Here is a 19,264-nt window from a genome sequence, read left to right on the forward strand (position 1 = left end):
CCTCCCTTGTGCCTGAGGGAACTGGAATGCTTCCACATTGTAGAACCCTCCACAGAGTTTGGGAAGCAGATTTGAATTTAGACTCCTCCCTCCATCTGGCAATGCTGAGACACCGGCCCCACCCCCACCACCAACGGAAGAGAGAGCCACAGTGGGGAAATGAACTGCCTTTATTTTTTTATTTCCCATCCAGAAACCCCAGTGTGATGGTGGAAGCAGCATGAAAACAACATCTCCCCAGGCCTCGCAGTAGAGGCGAAGGGAACAGGGCTGCCCATGTGCCTGTCTCTAAAGACGCCACCCTCAGGTTGATGTCACCTGTGGGAGACCGGGTCCACCTACAGACACCAGGTGATGGTCCACCAGGCCCCAAGCTCCAGCCTGCTGAGTCCCCAAGACACAGGCTCATTAAATAGCTTCGTACAAAAACCCAAGGGTGTCCCTCCAGCTGGTAAAAATTGGGCAATTTCTACTTGAGGTCTGCTGTGGGGGTGGACCTCACCTTGGAGATGTCTTTCCAGAATAAAACTAAGCCCTACTCAGGAAAAATGGTGATGAAAGGCAGCTCACAGACATGCACGACTAATAATCTTATTGAAAAGGGAGGAGCTCAGGCACACAGGAGGACAAGGCTATGCAATATGCAGACATGAAAGAAATGCCACGGGACGCTGTCAGGGGTCAGCAGGAGGCAAAGAGGTAGAGCTCTGGCCAGGAACGCTCTGCCTAGAGAGAGCCCTCTGCAGCTGGCCCTAGATCGGGGACTCAGGGGAGTATCTGCCTAAGGACCAAGGAGACACCAACAGCCTGCCCAGGTGTGGGCTTGTGCAGGTCACACAGTCCTCATGAGTCTCCTGGACAGGAAATGGACATGAGGGACATTTTTGAGACAGGGGGCAAAGTGCAGAGAGAGCCAAGAGGTCAAGATGGTGCCAGAGATTTTGAAACCACAAGAGCCGCCCCTTTGGGAAACACTGAGAAGAGGAGCCTCTTCTCTAGCCTCTGCTTGGGGCAAGCCTGGGTCAGGTGGGTTCTCAGTACTTTTTCACAGTTAAGTCTTTTCCTGGGCAGCCACATCCACGTCAGGCTGGGCTGGGCTGTGGCCAGTCGAGGGGTCCTTTGGCAGGTTCAAAGCTGTGAGCCACCCCGAGAGAACGTGCCCACTTCCCTGCTTTGTGGTTCATAGGCCTAGAGAGACCCGACAGCGGGCTGCCCAGTGTGAGTGAGAATGCCTGCACGTTTCGGTGGTCAGGGGCGGAGAGGCCTGTACTCCAGATTCCCCAAAGAGATCAAAACATTCTAAAACAGCCTGCAGGTCTGTGTGTGTCTAACAGTGCTCAGCCAAGTCCACGGCCTGGGTCAGCAACATTCCAGAAGAGGAAGAGCATTGTAGCCGGTTGTTTGGCCAAATGGTAGCGATGGGGAACAGGTCTCAGGTTGGGCATGTGGAAGGTTTTCCAGTACCTTGGATTAAGACAGGATGCAGTGGTCCTAAATTCTTCCAGTCAGACTGAGTTAACAGCATGTCTTAGTAGCAGGAATTTGTCCTTGTTTTTGTCACACAAAGGTTGGTGGAGACGGGGCCAGGACATGGCCAGTTTGATGACAGTGGAGAAGCTGCTGCCAGTTCTGTGGGGCGCAGCCCACCTTCTCCTCACGGCCCTCAGGTGAAGTAGCGGCAGGGCGTGGAGTCGATGTAGCAGTACTGGGTGCATTGCAGGTCTCCATATGACCTGAGGGAGGCAAAGACACGTTCTAAAAGGCCACCTCTTATATGCTGGTGACTTCCGGTCAAACCTTATCAAACAGCGGCCAAGGGCCAATGGCTCTACAAGAACTTTTTCCCATTCTCATTTGGAGTGAGAGGCCTGGGGGAGTTGAATCATGTCTCTGGGATTTTTGCCTTGAGGTCTAGCTCGGGGCCTGGGTGGAAGGAGGTGGTTGCCCTGCTCTTAGCACAGCATCTGTGAGGGAATCCCCCTTGCTACGATGCAGCCTACCAACAAAAATGTCCTGTATCTGTGAAGCCACTGGCCAGATGTGGCTATTGAGCTCTTGAAATGTAGTTACTGTGACTGAATAACTGCATTTTTTTTTTTTTTTTGAGACAGAGTTTCGCTCTGTCCCCCAGGCTGGAGTGCAGTGGTGTGATCTCGGCTCACTGCAGCCTCTGCCTCCCAGGTTCAAGCGATTGTCCTGCCTCAGCTTCCTGAGTACCTGGGATTACAGGCACGTGCCACCAAGCTCAGCTAATTTTTGTATTTTTAGTAGAGGTGGGATTTCACCATGTTGGCCAGGGTGGTGCCGAACTCTGAACCTCAGGTGACCTGCCCGCCTTGGCCTCCCAAAGTTCTGGAATTACAGGCGTGAGTCACAGTGCCTGGCCTGAGTAACTGCATTTTAAGTTTACTTATAATGACTTTACATTTGAACAGCAGCCTGTGAATGGGGGCTACCATATTGGACAGTGCAGTTTATACCTCTGTAGGCCCGGATGATCATCCGAGACAGGGCGTTAAACCTTACAGGCACAGTCACAGGCGTCCCTCTGAGGCTTCTGGGGAATAGCTGTGTAACCACAGTGAGCGTGGGGGAGCCCTGGGCTCTACTCGATCCTGTACTCCATATCTGATCGTCTACATTGATTTGTCTCTGTGGAGCCATGAAGAGCCAACTCTCTGGCAGAGGCCTGTCAGGGGTCTTCCTTCCTTCAGGGAGAGGGGCACTGCACACAGACACATACATGGAGTGGGGTCCTGGCCAAGCCTAAATGGGCTTAGAGTCTGGGGGAGACTGGGGGAGACTACAGGTCTGTAGTTCTCCCAGCCTGGTTGAACATGCTAATATCTGAGTGTTAGGGAGACCCCCTTGGAAGAGAGAGCACAGAGAAGGCAATGGAGAGACAGGCATGGCTCCCCAGCCCTGCCAAGGGCCCAGGTCCGAGTCTACAAGAGAAAATGGGATGGGAGCAAAAGCTGAAGGGACTGGACTCAAGGACAGAAGAGATCGGAAGCACCAGTAGATCCACTCTGGAACCCAGTGAAGAGCAGGGCATGGCCTAGGTAAAAAGGAACGGCCTCCCCATTTTCCTGAGAACGTTGTACAACTCTGGTTCTGTAAGGACTGGGGAGACATGTACCTTCTGCACCTTGGAAGGAGCCCAGTGGTTACAATCTGGGCATGGAATCAGCACCTCATGGGGCGGTGGCCCTCAGTTGGCTTGGCAGGCGCCAGTGTGGAGCCAGGACACTAGAATACTTGTCCTGAACAACATAAATAGCCACTGAGGACTCTCAGAAATAACTAGAGGGGTCCTTGGAGGGAGTATTTTCTTGGAGGGGCCATGAGCTTGCAAAATTAGATATTAAGGCTGATTTGATCTCACTTGCAGTCACAGGCATGCCTGAGGGATGGGCAGGGTGTTCCAGGGAAGTCAGGTTAGGTAGACATGTCGATTCTTGGAAATGCCCTGAGACCTTTACTCTCCACTGGGCTTCCCACCTAGGCCCACAGCCCAGGAGACTATGTAGTCATGGTGACCACTGGGTTTGGGGGCTGCTCATGCAGGGCAGCAGCTGAGCTCAGAGACCGCAGCTCCCCTCTGGGCCTTGGATGGAGCAGGTGGCTGTGGGTGCCGTGGCTCAGTCTCAGTGGCACGCAGGCAGTGCTGACCAAGAGGGCACGTGGTAGGCAGGGAGCACGTGTTGTGTCATTCATCACCATACCTCAGTGTCTAGAAGGCACCACAAAGTGGAGAGGCACTCAAAATATTTGTGAAGGAAAGAAGGAAAGCAAAGAGGAGGGAGGGAGAAAGAAGGGGGAGAGGGAGGGAGGGGAGTCATCCCTACCCAGGGAGATAGGTCTCGCATGTCAGGTAGCCAAAGTCAGAGCCGTCACAGTCCTCCACACCCTCATGCCGGTGACCATCTCCACAGTAGGCACGGTGACAGCCTGAGGGGACATAAGGAGGTGCAGTCTTGAGAAGGAGCAGAGGCGATAGGCTTGCCTCAGCTTGTAAGGACCATGCGGCCCAAGGGATCCAACCTAAGTGCTGCACCCCTTAAAGAACTGACCTCCATTAAGCTTCACACTCCTCCAGGGACTGCCCACAGGCTCTGGTCCCACAGCGATGTGCCATGGGACAAGAAGAAGGAGATCCTGGCTCCAGCCCCGCCTCACAACTTACTAGCTGAGGGGTGGGGAGACTCCAGGTTGTTATCTGCAAAACTGGGACACTGACATGACCTCCACCTCATAAAGCCAGTGTGGGGGTCCCGGGAGTGAGGGTTGGAAGACTGCTGAGCCCCAGTGAGGGTGCATGGTGACTCTCATCTGTCAACAGAGAGCTTCTGTGTGACACTGGTGAGCCCAGCCTTGTGTCCCTGGGGAGCCACATGATCTTCAGCAAAGACCTCTGCTCTCACACGATGGGAGGGTGTTGGAGTATGGATCCCAGCGTTGTTTTCACAGGGCAGGGACAGTCCATTAGTTCCTTCCTACTGTGAGAGCTCCTATTTGACACTGTGCACCAGAGGCAGAAGGGACTCTGGGCAGGGCCAGCCTTCTAGGGGATGCCATCCCTGGAGCTGTCGGGAGACAGTTCGGCCACACTGAGACAGTCAGCAGCATCTCCCGCCACCCACTCTGCCCTGTCATCCTTCCCCTGAACTGTTTTTTTTTTTTTTTTTTTTTTGAGACAGGGTCTCGCTCTGTTTCCCAGCCTGGAGTGCAGTGGTGCAATCGCAGTTCACTGCAGCCTTGAACCCCTGGGCTCAAATCATCCTCCCACCTCACCCTCCTAAGCAGCTGGGACTACAAGTGCGCACCACCAGGCCTGGCTAATTTTTTTAATTTTTATTTTTTTTTGTAGAGATTGGGTCTTGCTCTGTTGCCCAGGCTGGTCTTGAACTCCTGGGCTCAAGTGATCCTCCAACCTCAGCTTCCCAAAGTGTTGAGATTACAGGCATGAGCCACTGTGCCCAGCCTCCCCTGAGCTTCTTGAGAGCAAGGACCATGACTTTGCATCCACACATCCAGCCCTGAGCCCCAGCCTGGATCTTTAGAGCAGGGGCTTAAACCACAAGCCCTAAATGAATTCAGTGAATGGTGGTTGAACCCTTACTATATCCAGATAATCTCTGCACATGTTAGCTCACAGGATCTCTAGGGACTTGAGCAGCCAGCACATCATACCCATTTTACAGGCAAGGAAAGTGAGGCTCAGAGCTGTAAATTGCCCCCCATTACCCCACCCACCATGTGGCCTCTGCCTTGAGCCTGAGGGTGGTTGGTGTTTCTCAGGGCCTGCATTCAACCTCTGTTGACTCTAAAGCTCCTGCTTTCCATCACACCTCCTGGTTTTGTTACTTGATTAAAAACAAAAACAAAAACAAACAAAAGCAAGCCCTCCAGAGCCTGCTGCCTACCAGTTAAGGCAGCAGCCCACGAGGCTGACAGCAGCTCTGGCTGGCCCAGTTTCCCCTACGGAGGGCTTTGCTACTAGAGCTCTACCTGGTAAATGAGCCCTCATTCAGATTCTTGGCCTCTCCCTTTTGCCTTTCACTACTCCATGCAAAGTGAGAGCCCATCACCTTTATCTTCTGCACCTGTAACATGGGTTTTGCTAAGATGTAGGACTGGGAGGACCTGGTGGCTACATTTTGAGATAAAGAAGGCCTAACTGGGGGCAGGATCCTTGACATCCGCCCCTGGTGAGGTGCTTGGGTGGTGGAAGAGTTAATATTTGGGCTGAAACTGGGGCAGCAGGGACTGGGGTGGGTGGCACAAGGTGGCCTGGGTATACCCTTCTCTGGCTCTAGAAAGGTCCCAAAGCACCACAGCTGGTGTCCAGGGCTGGCCCTGAGTCCCACCCCCCTGCTGTTCAGGCCTCAGGTCCTCCTGGTCTGGGCCTCACTCACGGATGCAGTCGTCACCCACATCGCTGTTACCGTCGTCACACTCCTCCCCAGGCTGCAGGAGCCCATCCCCACAGGTGCCGTGCTGGTCTGCAGTGTAATCCACAGGGTAGAAAGGGGTCAGCTGGCCAAAGAAGCACACAGCATTAACTGGAGCATGGCATACCCAGGCAGCCGCAGGCAGGGAGGTCATTGGTTTTGGTCCAAAGGCACTGCTGGGGGGCATGCCTTGACTTCCTCCCAGGGGTGGGAAAGGTACTCCTTTCCTGTTGCCCAGAGCTCTGTAGCTGGTTAAATGTTGGGTCAGATCAAGACAGCAACCTGGCACGCAGGGATGTGGAGACCATCTGGAACCCTGGCTCAGAGAGGGGCTTCTATTTGGGAGTCAGGGTGGGGGAATGGAGGGCTGCTCAGAGAGAGTTTGAGGGAGGATGCTCAGCCCTCCCATGCAGACAGACTGTAGAAAGCCCTCCCCAGGCCCAGTGGGGTGGCCTTCCCTTCCTTTAATGGATGCATCTCTCTCCTGGGCAGGGAGTATGTCCTGAGGTAATGGCCTGGGGGTACCTGGATGGGGAGCCAGCCAAGGCTGTCCTTGAAGTACAGAGATCTCTGGTCTCTGCGGAAGGCAATGGCGTTTTGGGTGTTCAGCCTCTCAAGCTCCTCCTGGTTGTTGACCACAAAAATCTGCCAGAGAACACACTGGTGAGGATTCCAGAAAACACTTCTGCAGGGGGCAGGAAAAAAGCTGGAGGAGGAAACAGAATCTCTATCCTTGGGCTGCTCAACAGTGGGAAGAGGGGTTTGCACACTACACTCTAGCATTCCTTCTGAAGTGAGAGGAGTGTCTTGATTCCCTCATCTTCTCAATCGAGTTCCTAATGTCTGAGTTTGAAACTAAAATATTCACTCGGATTTAACTTTTTTTTCTTTTTTTCTTTTGTTTTTGAGATGGAGTCTCACGCGGTTGCCCAGGCTGGAGTGAAGTAGCGTGATCTCGGCTCATTGCAACCTCTGCCTCCCGGGTTCAAGCAATTCTCCTGCCTCAGCCTCTCGAGTAGGTGGGATTACAGGTGTGCACCACAATGCCTGGCTAACTTTTGTATTTTTAGTAGAGATAGGGTTTCGCCATGTTGGCCAGGCTGGTTGCGAGCTCCTGACCTCAAGGTGATCCACCCACCTCGGCCTCCCAAAGTTCTGGGATTACAGGCATGAGCCACCGCGCCCGGCCTCGGATTTAACATTTTTAAATATTTAAAACGTTCCCAAGACTTAAGTTAAAAGGCAATGTCATATAGTCAAGTAATTTGACATCTGGAAGTGATTCTTAAAATTATCCTACTCAAAGATATTCTTTACAGCATTATTTACATTAGTAAAAAGCTTGGGGGTGGCCAATAAGCAATAGGTTGGTTAAACACCAACACTGGTTAAGTAAATTGTAGCACAGCCACACTAGATGGATGATTATGATGAACAGATGTCCAAGGTTTACTTCAAAATAATACAACAGAGAATGGGCAGGAGTGAGTAGGCATAAAGAGAAAACAAGGACACAGGCTCGCCATGAGTTGATCATTATTAAAGTTGGGTGAAGGGTACACAGGGGTTCATTACACTATTTGTTCTGCTTTTATATGTATTTGAAATTTTCCCTAATAAAAAGTTTAAAATGTTATTTATAGAGTGTGGAAACATGGCAGGATTTCAACTAAGATAACAAAGTATAACTTTTTTTGAGACGGAGTCTCGCTCTGTTGCCCAGGCTGGAGTGCAGTGGTGCTATCTCAGCTCACTGCAATCTCCGCCTCCTGGGTTCAAGCGATTCTCCCACCTCAGCCTCCCAAGTAGCTGAGACAACAGGCGTGCACCACCGCGCCCGGCTAATTTTTTAAATATATTTTTTAGTAGAGATGGGGTTTCACTGTATCGGCCAGGCTGATCTCGAACTCCTGACCTTATAATCCACCCACCTTGGCCTCCCAAAGTGCTGGGATTACAGGCATAAGCCACCATGCCCGGCCAAAAGTACATTTTTATACAATATAATCTCAACCATATAAAAGTTAGATTTTAATAAGACAAAGAAAATACCCCAAAATGGACTCACAATCAAATGGACAATTTGGTTTTCCTCTTGATTTTCTCATATTTTCCAATTTCCTATAATGAGGGTGTACTCAGAGTCGTGAAAAAAAGTTAGTTTTACTGAAAGGATTTTACAAAGCCCCATAAGGATCAGGTGAGAGGTCCTCACGGATAACCACCCCAGACTTCTCCCAGAAAGCCTTACCACAGGAACTCGCGGGGAACTGGGCCCATACACAGATTCCCCGTAGGAAGGGTTATTCACATTCATAGTGGGTCCACAAAGACATCTTCCTGGAGGCCCGGGAAATCCTCTTTCCCCTTTGGGTCCCATTATAAGTTGTCCTAGGAAGCAACAGACTGCTGTGTTACTAGAGCCAAGGAAGAGAAGACCAAACAACCAGGGAGATGTGAGCGACCTTTGCAACAGAAAAAAGGTTAAAGTCCACAGCATTTCAGGGTATGCCTGAGGGAGAGGTTCAAAGAGATGCTTTTGATCCAAGACATGGAGGAGCTAAGGTAAGAAAAATAGCTGGTAGGCGATAGTTTCCCCCTCCTTCCTGCCTTGAAGACAGGCAAGATGTCTGGTGTTGCAGCAGCCGTGTTGCAACCAGGAAGTCACAAGCATGAGAAGATAAGCCAACATGCAGGAAAGACGAAAGGCTCATGGGGCCTGGGGCCCTGACAGTGACAGTCAGAGGCTGAATCAAAGCCAGCTACTGCCTGCCTCTGGATTTCTTTATTGGAGAAAAACAATGTCTTATTTGTTTAGACCATTATTAACAGAGGGCTTCTTGCCGACAAACACATTATTGACTGTTAACTTTTATTGTTTTAAAAAACTTTTGTTTTTCTTATATATAGAATTTTTTTTTTTTTTTGAGATGGAGTCTTGCTCTGTTGCCCAGGCTGGAGTGCAGTGGCACGATCTTGGCTCACTACAACCTTTGCCTCCCAGGTTCAAGTGAGTCTCCTGCCTCAGCCTCCTGTGTAGCTGGGATTACGGGTGTGTGCCACCACACCAGGCTAATTTTTGTATTTTTAGTAGAGACGGGGTTTTGCCATGTTGGCCAGGCTGGTCTCGATCTCCTGACCTCAAGTAATCCGCCCACCTCAGCCTCCCAAAGTGCTGGGATTACAGGCGTGAGCCACCATACCCAGCCAATGTAGGATCTTTACAGAGGAATTTCTGGATGTGGGTTTCTTTCATTTCTTCTGGAAGAAAATAGAACATTAGTATATGCTCTGCCCATTTACCCTCCCCTGGTGCTGAAGAAGTGAGGACATGTCTTGAAAAGATATGATCAGAAAGTGTACTCCCTAGCAATGTGGAAGAACTGTGAGGGTAGTACCTTGGTTTTTAAAGGCTCTGATACCCAGGATACACCTCAGACCAATTCCATCAAGACTTCTGAAAACTGAACTGAACCTAGGCAGCATCCACACTTTTATTTATTTATTAAAAAAAATTTTTTTACCACTTTAGCATAAGGCATCCTTTTTTTTTTTTTTTTTGGAGACGGAGCCTCACTCTGTCGCCCAGGGTGAAGTGCAGTGGTGTAATCTCAGCTCACTGCAACCTCCGCCTCTCAGGTTCAAGTGATTCTCCTGCCTCAACCTCCTGAGTAGCTGGGACTACAGGCACGTGCCATCAGGTTTGGCTAATTTTTGTGTTTTTAGTAGAGACAGGGTTTCACTCTGTTGGCCAGGCTGGTCTCGAACTCCTGACCTCAAGTGATCCATCTCCCTTGGCCTCCCAAAGTGCTGGGATTACAGGTGTGAGCTGCCGCGCCTGGTCAGGCACCCATATTTTATTATTATTATTATTATTATACTTTAAGTTTTAGGGTACATGTGCACAATGTGCAGGTTAGTTACATATGTATACATGTGCTAGGCATCCATATTTTTAAAAGCTCTCAAGATGATTCCAATTTGCCCCAAGGTTGAGAACTGGGCCATTCCCCTGCCAGATCATCCTCCCTTCATCCTCCATCCCTCCCCAGCTGCCTCTCAACTCCCTTCTGATCTGGGTTCAAACATCACTTCTTGAAGGAAGACTTTTTGAATCCTCAGACTCTGTCATGTATACCTGGGATACAATTTCATGGTTTCCTATGCCTTTCTTCACAGCACTTCTCTTTGTGATTCTATATATTGTGAGATTATTCCATCAAGGTTGATCTCCAGTAGAATGTCGCTCCACAAGGACAGGGCTAGTGCCTGTTTTCATCCACCAGGGCTTACACAAAGTAGGGGCATGGAAAGTGTTTGATGATCGAATGAATGAATGCCGACTAATTGGAGAGAAAAAGTCTTCAGAAGAGGGTAAAAGTCACATTCTGGCTGGCAGAAAAGCACCAGAACAAAAGCCATCTAACAGGAAGTGAGGAAAGAGAAAAAAAGATGGGGACTGAGAAGAGAAATAGGTAAGGATCCCTTCTTCTGGGAAAATAGCGAGGGGTGGGTTTGGAGGCCAGCCAGTCATTGGTGTCAGGCAGTATGACATCTGGGGCAGCCAGGGGCTGGGAACACAGTTCACAGATCCAGAAGGGCAGGAAATAAAATGACCCCAGGGGAGAGATCTGGCCAGGACCCCAGGGAAAACACTGCAGTCGGAGGAGACTGAACTTTCCTGAGCGAGTTGACAGGTATTCGTACAATCAGAATGCTGACAGCATGAGGGGAAGGGCACTGTGCCAATATCTTATCCTAAGTTATGGTTGTTTGTTCTAACAAGAAATACAAATATAATTCTGTAGGAAGAGCTCCAGTCTGTGTTCTGATATTTTCAGAAGAGCCCAGAGAGACAGGGAATCCACCAGGCTAGGAATATTCTGGGTAATTAAGCACTTGGGGAAATTGAAGTGGAAAAGCTCTGTGACCAAGAATATGAGGGTGGCATTGGAACAGCCTTCCAGAAGGCTCTGTGACCCCAACAACTCCTCCAGAACCATGGCCTGAGAGACAGTCAGGAGTTTGTCCCATTAGCTGCTGATGAATGGTGAGGCTGAGATTTGAATTCATGTTTTACTTAACACTATGCTGTTCAAAAGACAAATGTCCAAGAATACTGATGCTCTCAGGAAGCTGGCAATTCCCAGGTACCACGTTGATTCACTTATACTCTGTCTGGGTACAGGAAGGACTCAGCCAAATTTGTAATTTGATTATTGCAAATTACATCCTAAAGGCATTTTGCCTTTATTCCCCCCCCGACCTCTTAGCCCCTCTTACCCTCTAACTCAGATAAGTACAAAGCTCTCACCCTTTCCACCTCCCCCAGCACCATCTGGTCCCACAGAGCTGGGCACCAGAAACCGAGGTCACCTCCCAACAGGATGTGGCAGGGAGCCTGCTGCCACCACTGCAGTTTCCCTGCAGCTTCCTCCCAGTTGCTGCAGGGCATCTGTTACCCCTGCCTGTTTTCTGCCAGGCTATACTAAAGGACTCAGCAACCTGAACTTCCCCACCCTGACCTCTGGGAGATCATGTCTCAGCTGGGTTTCATCGCCACCCCCTGCAGCCAGAGGACCTGGCTCTCCATCTTTTCCCAGGCAGGCTCCCGCTTCCATTGGCTGCCTCAGTGGGAAAGGATCAGGAAAGGGGAATCTAGGAGAGGGCAGAGGAACCAGCACAACAACCTCTAGGGCCGCCTGGCTGACACTCACCCATTCTGGACCAGGGTGGCCCCCAGTCACTGCTGTGACCTTGCAGGCATCACTTCTCTTTGAGGTTCAAGATTCTTTTCTCTAAGGGGAGGGTAGGACTAGACCAGGGGAGTTTTAACCTGTGGTCTACAGAGGCCAAGGCTATCTCACGATGGCGCTGGGACAGGGGTTCTGGAACCCTGGGAAACAGGGTGCAAAACCTTGGATGTAGGTATATACAGTTTTTTCCCCCCCGAGAATGGGTTTGGGACTTTCATCAGACTGTCAAAGGTAGTGTCAGGAACCAATTTGGGGGGCCTAGTCCAACTCTGGATGATTATCCAACTGGTCCCAGGCACAGGGATAACTTATTTATTTATTTATTTATTTATTTATTTATTTATTTATTTATTTTTGAGATGGAGTCTTACTCTGTCGCCCAGGCGGGAGTGCAGTAGCGAGATCTCGGCTCACTGTAACCTCCGCCTCCCGGGTTCAAGTGATTCTCCTGTCTCAGCCTCCTGAGTAGCTGGGATTACAGGTGCCCGCTACCATGCCCGGCTAATTTTTGTATTTTTAGTAGAGATGGGGGTTTCACCATGTTGGCCAGGCTGGTCTCAAACTTCTGACCTCAAGTGATCCGTCCACCTCAGCCTCCCCAAGTGCTAGGATTACAGGCGTAAGCCACCGCGCCCGGCTGAATATCTCTTTTTAACTCCTTCCTTGCCCTCTCTCCCCACCCCTCCAATATTTTCCAAAGAGCAGGATTATTTATTGCCCCATCTTCTCTTTACCTTCTTCAGCCCGCTCACTCAGGAAGCCTCCTCAGAAAGGAAGTGGCTCAAAGGACGGAATGGGGGGCGGGGGCATCAATCCAAAGAGATGGTCCCACCCTGCTTGGCTCCTAAGGAGATGAACTGTGAACCCACAGAACCCCTGCCTGGGAGCCCCTGCAGGAAGCAGCCCTGTCCACCCACATACCAGGTGCCACTGGGGATGTGAAGCTGACTCAGCCGCCTACCTCGCCCTCAAGGATCTAGTGGGAAGATGAAACACATCTGCAGAAACGTTACCAATGGAGAGGCCATAACAGAGAGGCAATGACCAGGGCTCAGGGGAGGGTGATCCATCCTGTTAGGGGCCAAGGAAGGCCTTACTGAAAAGAGAGCTTCAAAGGAACAGAGAATTTTGTTGGATGGACAGAAGGTGAGAGGAGTGCCATGTAAGGTCATGTGGACCCAGAGAGACCATAGGAATAGCTCCAGCTCCACAGACGGCAAGGTGTCCTCTGAAGGGTAGAGGGCAGGGCGTGATTGGGCAGAGGCTGGGGTAGTCAAGGGAGAGGGAGGTGGGCATACTGGGTGGAAGAGAGGGAGCTGGAAGGCCAGGGAGAAAAAGTATGACTCTGCGGGGCCTGCTAAGAGGACAGGATTGCAATACACCGAAGACAGACAAGACAAGAGAAACAGCAGGCACCAAGAAGCTGCTGACAGCTCCAGCCTAGCCCTTCTCATCCATCCCCTAGCCCCAGGAGGGAACCAGACAAGTCAGGTGAGGGCTGGCCTTTACAAAGAGATAAACACAGTGAGACCATTAAGATCCCAGTCCGCTAAGGATCTCCTACACATCCCACATCCACCAATCCCATTGCCCCTGGACTACTCCTCAGTTTTTTTTGGTTTTGGTTTTGTTTTTTTTTGTTGTTTTTGTTGTTTTTTGTTTTTTGTTTTTTTTGAGATGGAGTCTTGCTCTGTCACCCAGGCTGGAGTGCAGTGACTCGATCTTGGCTTACTGCAAGCTCCGCCTCCCGGGTTCATGCCATTCTCCTGCCTCAGCCTCCCATGTAGCTGGGACTACAGGCGCCCGCCACTACGCCCGGCTAATTTTTTGTATTTTTAGTAGAGATGGGGTTTCACTGTGTTAGCCAGGATGGTCTCGATCTCCTGACCTCATGATCTGCCCACCTCGGCCTTCCAAAGTGCTGGGATTACAGGTGTGAGCCACCGCGCCTGGCCTACTCCTCAGTTTTGTGAGCCCCTAGGTACCCCAGGGGCCAAGAGAGTCCCTTCTGAAGGCACAACTCAGGCCAAGCTCTCAGTCTCTGCGGTTGGTAGCTCATAGTTATGGGGCTCCAGGGGGACATCATGCCTTCCAGAACCAAGGAGGAAGAGGACTAGTTGAAAGGACCCCCATTCAGATCATCCAGCCAATTCCAGAAATGAATTATGGAGTGTGGGCACATGGCCTGGGCTGCATCTCAAATCTGATTCCCCTAACAACATGGAAACAGGCGCAGCAAACATAAGTTATTACCCATACTAATCAGTGTTTGTTCTCCCAGTATTTCCTTCCTCCTCTCCCTATTTCAAGGAGGTAGCAAGAGTTTGTGCTTTCTTGCCCTTGCTAAAAGCAGGTACTATTGGAAACAAACTTTTCTTTCTGCCTTCTGTTCTCTGAAGGACAAAGCTCCTAATTGGGGTGCTGGTATATGAGGAGTATGAGGAAGGAGGGGTCAGGGATGGAAGAGGAGAGACCTCCCTAGACATGGACAGGAGAGGGACCCCTTGTATCCTGAGAAAGAGACAGGTCTCAGAAAGAATGGTTGTGGGGTGCTCCTTGGAAAGTTGAACTGTGGGGACCAGGACTCCCAGCCTTGAAAATGTTCTGATACCCACGTATGGCATGAGAACAGCAGCCACCAGGTATCTGTGGACCACAGGGACTTGGACAACAAGTCTATTTCTATTTCTACTCTATTTCAGAGGTGAATGGAGTAGACCAAAGGTTGGAGGGACCTTCCCTGACATTTTTCTGCCATAATTCACCAGGATCTTTGCCCAACCTATTTGTGGTTGTTGGAGGAGTAGTGAAAATCCTAATAATGCCTGAATTAATTTATTTGGCATCCTAGTAGGTTGGACTCTCAGAGCCAGATTTAACTTAGTTTAAAGGATCTAACAAAATATGACATTTCTTGCCCATCCCATGATGTGGTTGCAAATATAGTTCCATAAACACAGGAGGAGGGGGAATACACTGTGGAATTGTAAATGTCTTCATTTTCTTAAGAAAAAAGTTGGAATAAAAATTGTTTGGATTCCTTTTGTATAACTGAAGACAGAAAATGTTGCAGTCAACAAATGATCTTCTTGATACTGTCTTTATACAGTTGATGTGCTGTGAAAGCCCCTACCATGAGCTGACAAGGGAACGAAATAAAGGGCTTAGCTAATAAAATTGAATGAGGTAAAAGAGGAAGCAGCAGCTGGGTGTGGTGGCTCACGCCTGTATTCCCAGCACTTTGGGAGGCCGAGGTGGGCGGATCACGAGGTCCGGAGTTCCAGACCAGCCTGAACAAAATGGTGAAACCCCATCTCTACTAAAAATACAAGAATTAGCCAGGCGTGGTGGAAGGCACCTGTAATCCCATCTACTCAGGAGGCTGAGGCAGGGGAATCACTTGAACCCGGGAGGTGGAGGTTGCAGTGAGCCAAGATCGCACCACTGCACTCCAACCTGGGCGACAGAGCAAGGCTCCGTCTTGAAAACAACATACAAGGAAGCAGTGTATCTATGCCCTTCTCAATAACAGACTTTATATTTTGATTTATTTATTTATTTATTTATTTATTTATTTATTTATTTATTTATTTTGAGATGGAGTCTCGCTCTGTCACCCAGGCTGGAGTGCAGTTGCGCGATCTCGACTCACTGCAAGCTCCGCCTCCCAGGTTCATGCCGTTCTCCTGCCTCAGCCTCCCAAGTAGCTGGGACTATAGGCGCCCGCCACCACGCCCGGCTAATTTTTTGTATTTTTAGTAGAGATGGGGTTTCACCGTGTTAGCCAGGATGGTCTCAATCTCCTGATCTCGTGATCTGCCCACCTCGGCCTCCCAAAGTGCTGGGATTACAGGCGTGACCCACCGCGCCCAGCCAACTTTTTATTTTTTTATTTTATTTTAGTAATTTCTTTCTACATCTTTTTTTTTTTTTTTTTTTTTTGGAGACAGAGTTTCGAGATGGCACAATTTCAGCTCACTGCAACCTCCGCCTCCCAGGTTCAAGTGATTCTTCTGCCTCAGCCTCAGAGTAGCTGGGATTACAGCCGCGTGCCACCATGCCAGGCTAATTTTTGTATTTTTGTATTTTAGCAAAAACAGAACGGTTTTTGCCATGGTTGACCAGGCTGGTTTCAAACTCCTGACCTCAAGTGATCTGCCCGTCTCGGCCTCCCAAAGTGCTGAAATAACAGGCGTGAGCCACCCATGCCCAGCCTCTTTCTCTAGCTATTGCAAACAAATAAGGACTCTTTTATAACACTGTAAATTGGAAAAAACCTGCAATGTCACCTTTACTTCTAGGTTTAAGAGAATTGCTTGGAGCCATGACACTTTTATCTAGAAAAAGGTATTAGTTGATGAAATATGTTCCTGTTATTTTTCACTTAAGGTATAAATGACATCATTAATGTGCTTTTTTTCTGTCCTCTATTTGTTCTCCAGAATGCTAAAACAAATTCAGAATGGCATTTATCTCTCTTGCATAAAAGTTGAATGAGCTAAATCGTGGAGAAATTACAAAGATATTGGAGTGTCTCTGGTAGTTTCTAACTTGAAACACAAGGCATCTCTGCTGGCATCTCCTTGTGCCCTCTCTGGGAGGCTGGCCAGTACTCCAACAGTGGATCAAGTGAAGCAGTGTAGCTCTTACCTGCAGGTGGGGGGCCTGGGGGCCCCGGACGGCCAGGTTGACCAGAAGGCCCAGGCTTGCCTGGTGGGCCCATAACTCCACTATCCCCTTTCTGTCCCTGACAGAGAGAAAGGCAGAGCCTGTTATGAAAGCATGACATAGCAAGCTTCCCGCCCCATTTATCACCAAATCAGAGATCACCTTGCACTTAAGGAGCAAGAGCCCAGTGGGGGATGCAGCTCCAGAGGTCTTGACCATCGAGCTCTTAATAAGCTTAGGGCAAGTGACATTTGAGATAGTGATGGCTACAAATTTGTAGACCTTAGTTCTTGCTCTACAAATGTGGCACATGGCAGCTGAAAGGAACCAGTCAAATCTACTCTAGGCCCTGGGCAGATGAGGAAATGGAGGCCTAGAAATGAGCTATTTTCACTCATTGGCTTCCCGTTGCACTCAGGATAAAGACTTAGCTCTTTACTGCAGCCTGCGAAGCCTTGCATGGCTAGGCTTTCCAGCTTCATTCCAGCCTTTTGGCCTTTTTGGTCTTCAAGGGCACCATGTCTATTATCCCCCTTCTCAAGACCCTTCTCTCTGCCCCAAAATCTCTTCCTTCCCCCTAGCCTAGTTAACTGTCACTCACCCTTTGGCTCTCAGCTCAAATGCCCTATGGCAAAGCCTTCCCTGACCTTCCTGGATGGAGTCAGTTCACCCCACCATAAGCTCTCATAACTCAGCCTGTTTCCTTCATGGCATTTATCCCAGATCATAGCATATGGATTATTTGTGTGGTCATTTCATTGATGTCTCCCCATGAGACATACACTCCCTATGGGCTGGAATCTGTCTAGCTCACCTCCTTTCCCCAGATGAAATGAGGGAGGACAAAGATGCTAGAAACACAATGGTAGGCAGCTTTGCTGATCTGTAAATCCAGAGGTTTCACCTTGACCTTGAGACTCCAGGTAACTCATGTCATTGCTTTGTACCTCAGTTTTGTCATCTTTAAAATGAGGCCAGTAAATTTACACCCACATAGGTCTGTGAAACTAACAAAGATCTCAGATGTGAAAATGTGGTTTGTACAGAACGAAGAGCTATGTGGGGCAAGCCAATTATCACAGCAACTGGCTTGGTTCCATCTGTTTCACGTAGTTAAGTCTTGGTTTATTAAAAAGGGCACATCTGTGGCTACAGCCGTTCCACATGGAGTGTCCTCTTTTCTGCCTATTCTGGGAGTATCAAGAGCAAAGACTGGGCTCTTTGTTCTCCCTCAGGGTTGCTCTTAGGAGTCACCCCGAAACCAAGGCTGGTGCATGCTATTGACTCTTCCCCTGAGCAATTTGCTAATTGTCTGCTCTTGCCTCAGGCCTAATCAGAGCAGTGATTGACACTTGCCATTTTTGACCTGGTTCTTCTTACTACACTTGCGCCTTGGCAGGCTTGCCCACCTGATGAAATGTAATCTTCCTCAAATCTGGGGAGCAGGCAGGCTTGGGACTCCTTTCCAGCCACAACGGTGACAGGTGACCGGCTGCCTTGTCCACATGGCACTGGGGGCCGTCTTGGTAATGTGCAAGGAGTTCTTGAACTCTGAATATGGGATCCGTGAGGTCAGAGTTTATTTCTGATTCCATGTTTATGGAGGGAGTTCTTAAGCCTCAGCCTAGCTGAAGCATTCCCTGCAGTAACCAAGCTGGGTCTCAGGATGGCAAAGGAAGTCACACATCTTAATATAGCCACAGTTCAGTCTTGTTTTTCTAACGGCCATGTCAGCTGGCTCTGAGCAAAGGAAGTGCCAAAGCTTGAAGGAGCTGGAAATGCTCCTTCATTCTGACACCAGCAGTAATGGAATATTCCGCTTATCGGCCATCGCTCAGAATGAGCCACGTCTCTATCAGCAGGACTCACTGAGTAGAGCTTTCCAGGAAAGGCATTCTTTATTCCTTATTTGCCACAAAGTTGGGTGATCTCTCTCAAGGAAATTGTTTCTCAGTTACTGAAGTTTTTTTTTTTTTTTTTTTTTTTTTTTGAGAGACGGAGTCTTGCTCTGTCGCCCAGGCTGGAGTGCAGTGGCGTGATCTTAGCTCACTGCAACATCTGCCTCCTGCGTTCAAGCAACTCCTGCCTCAGTTTCCCAAGCAGCTGGGACTAGAGGTGTGTGCCACCATGCCCAGCTAATTTTTGTATTTTTTAGTAGAGGTGGGATGTCACTGTATGTTGGCCAGGCTGGTCTCGAACTCCTGACCTCAGGTGATCTGCCTGCCTTGGCCTCCCAAAGTGCTGGGATTATAGGCATGAGTCGCCACTCCCGGCTGAGAAGATTTTTATAATAAAGTCAACAGCTGCTTTCCTGGGCTTGCCTGAAGGCAAGTCCTGAAGCATGAAGGTAGCTGAGAGAAGAAGTCATGTGGGGAAAGTTGGTCTCAACTCAACTCTCTGGATTCTAATCCTGGCTTTGAAGCTGACTTCATGGAGGGGTCTTGGGCAAGCAACTCCACCTCCCTGGCCCTCAGCTTCCTTGAGAATAACCTGAGGAGACTGGATTAAGTGGTCTCTGTAATCCTTCTGGCACAGAAATTACTATCTGAAATTCCTTCTGAATTTCTGATTTTTGGCTTTGGATTGACTTAACAATAACTTTCAGAGACTCTCAGCACTGCTGGCCAACAAACAAAGAGTATGTAAGACTATGCTGGGAGATTAATTCATGATAAAAATAAATACCACATCAGGCTTCTAAGGCTAACAATTCGTTATCTCCCAACTGGAACGACCCCAACACCGAGGGTTTGCAGCACCCTCGGGTTGTTCACAATGTCTTGTCGAAAGCTTGGGCTCTTTTCTCTAACTTCTCTGAGCTCCCAGATGTGGTTTTGGTGTAGCTTTTATGATTCCAACGGAATTAGTCTCAGCAGGCTCAAGAAA

General features: G+C 49.3%; 1 protein-coding gene across 3 annotated transcripts in view; it reads right to left on the reverse strand.

Annotated features, from left to right (window-relative positions):
- Window positions 153–19,264, reverse strand: part of COLQ (collagen like tail subunit of asymmetric acetylcholinesterase) — a 71,574-nt gene continuing 52,462 nt past the window's right edge. For all 3 annotated transcript variants that reach the window (NM_080539.4, NM_005677.4, NM_080538.2), the window contains 6 exons: window positions 16,361–16,457; window positions 8,206–8,345; window positions 6,480–6,599; window positions 5,919–6,039; window positions 3,849–3,951; window positions 153–1,733 (listed from right to left, as the gene is read on the reverse strand). In NM_080539.4, coding sequence (NP_536800.2) covers window positions 1,664–1,733; window positions 3,849–3,951; window positions 5,919–6,039; window positions 6,480–6,599; window positions 8,206–8,345; window positions 16,361–16,457 — 651 coding nt within the window. In that variant the 3' untranslated portion in view covers window positions 153–1,663. The remainder of the gene's footprint in view (window positions 1,734–3,848; window positions 3,952–5,918; window positions 6,040–6,479; window positions 6,600–8,205; window positions 8,346–16,360; window positions 16,458–19,264) is intronic.

Source organism: Homo sapiens, chromosome 3 (genome assembly GCF_000001405.40).
Source record: "Homo sapiens chromosome 3, GRCh38.p14 Primary Assembly".
NCBI lineage: Eukaryota > Metazoa > Chordata > Mammalia > Primates > Hominidae > Homo > Homo sapiens.